This window comes from Homo sapiens, chromosome 21 (assembly GCF_000001405.40).
Source record: "Homo sapiens chromosome 21, GRCh38.p14 Primary Assembly".
In the NCBI taxonomy this organism is placed as follows: Eukaryota; Metazoa; Chordata; class Mammalia; order Primates; family Hominidae; genus Homo; species Homo sapiens.
The window spans coordinates 12,913,749-12,915,808 of NC_000021.9; the positions used below are offsets into that span (position 1 = coordinate 12,913,749).

General features: G+C 38.7%; 1 annotated feature.

Annotated features, from left to right (window-relative positions):
• Positions 1 to 2,060: part of a centromere (Linear centromere model derived predominantly from reads generated in PMID: 17803354. This region does not represent an actual centromere sequence, as long-range ordering of repeats and unmapped WGS contigs is not provided by the model. For details of model production, see http://arxiv.org/abs/1307.0035.) that runs on past the window's edge.

The window sequence follows — 2,060 nt, forward strand, 5'->3', positions numbered from 1 at the left end:
CATCTAAAATCTAGACAGAAGCACTCTCAGAAACTACTTTGTGATATCTGCATTCAAGTCACAGAGTTGAACATTCGCTTTCTTAGAGCACGTTTGAAACACTCTTTTTGTAGTGTCTGGAAGTGGACATTTGGAGCGCTTTGATGCCTTTGGTGAAAAAGGGAATGTCTACCCATAAAAACTAGACAGAAGCATTCTCAGAAACTTGTTTGTGATGTGTGTACCCAGCCAAAGGATTTGAACATTTCTATTGATAGAGCAGTTTTGAAACACTCTTGTTGTGGAAAATGCAGGTGGATATTTGGATAGCTTGGAGGATTTCGTTGGAAGCGGGAATTCAAATAAAAGGTAGACAGCAGCATTCTCAGAAATTTCTTTCTGATGTCTGCATTCAACTCATAGAGTTGAAGATTCCCTTTCATAGAGCAGGTTTGAAACACTCGTTCTGGAGTATCTGGATGTGGACATTTGGAGCGCTTTGATGCCTACGGTGGAAAAGTAAATATCTTCCCATAAAAACGAGACAGAAAGGATTCTCAGTAAACAAGTTTGTGATGTGTGTACTCAGCTAACAGAGTGGAACCTTTCTTTTTACAGAGCAGCTTTGAAACTCTATTTTTGTGGATTCTGCAAATTGATATTTAGATTGCTTTAACGATATCGTTGGAAAAGGGAATATGGTCATACAAAATCTAGACAGAAGCATTCTCACAAACTTCTTTGTGATGTGTGTCCTCAACTAACAGAGTTGAACCTTTCTTTTGATGCAGCAATTTGGAAACACCCTTTTGGTAGAAACTGTAACTGGATATTTGGATAGCTCTAACGATTTCGTTGGAAACGGGAATATAATCATCTAAAATCTAGACAGAAGAACTATTAGAAACTACTTGGTGATATCTGCATTCAAGTCACAGAGTAGAAGATTCCCTTACTTCGAGCACGTTTGAAACACTCTTTTGGAAGAATCTGGAAGTGGACATTTGGAGCGCTTTGATGCCTTTGGTGAAAAGGAAACGTCTTCCAATAAAAGCCAGACAGAAGCATTCTCAGAAACTTGTTTGTGATGTGTGTACTCAACTAAAAGAGTTGAACCTTTCTATTGATAGAGCAGTTTTGAAACACTCTTTTTGTGGATTCTGCAAGTGGATATTTGGATTGCTTTGAGGATTTCGTTGGAAGCGGGAATTCGTATAAACACTAGACAGCAGCATTCCCAGAAATTTCTTTCGGATATTTCCATTCAACTCATAGAGATGAACATGGCCTTTCATAGAGCAGGTTTGAAACACTCTTTTTTTAGATTGTAGAAGTGGACATTTCGATCGCCTTGAGGCCTACCGTGAAAAAGGAAATATCTTCCTATAAAAAATAGACAGAAGCATTCTCAGAAACTTGTTTGTGCTGTGTGTACCCAGCCAAAGGAGTTGAACATTTCTATTGATAGAGCAGTTTTGAAACTCTCTTTTTGTGGAAAATGCAGGTGGATATTTGGATAGCTTGGAGGATTTCGTTGGAAGCGGGAATTCAAATAAAAGGTAGACAGCAGCATTCTCAGAAATTTCTTTCTGATGTCTGCATTCAACTCATAGAGTTGAAGATTCCCTTTCATAGAGCAGGTTTGAAACACTCTTTCCGGAGTATCTGGATGTGGACATTTGGAGCGCTTTGATGCCTACGGTGAAAAAGTAAATATCTTCCCATAAAAACGAGACAGAAGGATTCTGAGAAACAAGTTTGAGATGTGTGTACTCAGCTAACAGAGTGGAACCTCTCTTTTGATGCAGCAGTTTGGAAACACTCTTTTTGTAGAAACTGTAAGTGGATATTTGGATAGCTCTAATGATTTCGTTGGAAACGGGAATATCATCATCTAAAATCTAGACAGAAGCCCTCTCAGAAACTACTTTGTGATATCTGCATTCAAGTCACAGAGTTGAACATTCGCTTTCTTAGAGCACGTTGGAAACACTCTTTTTGTAGTGTCTGGAAGTGGACATTTGGAGCGCTTTGATGCCTTTGGTGAAAAAGGGAATGTCTTCCCATAAAAACTAGACAGA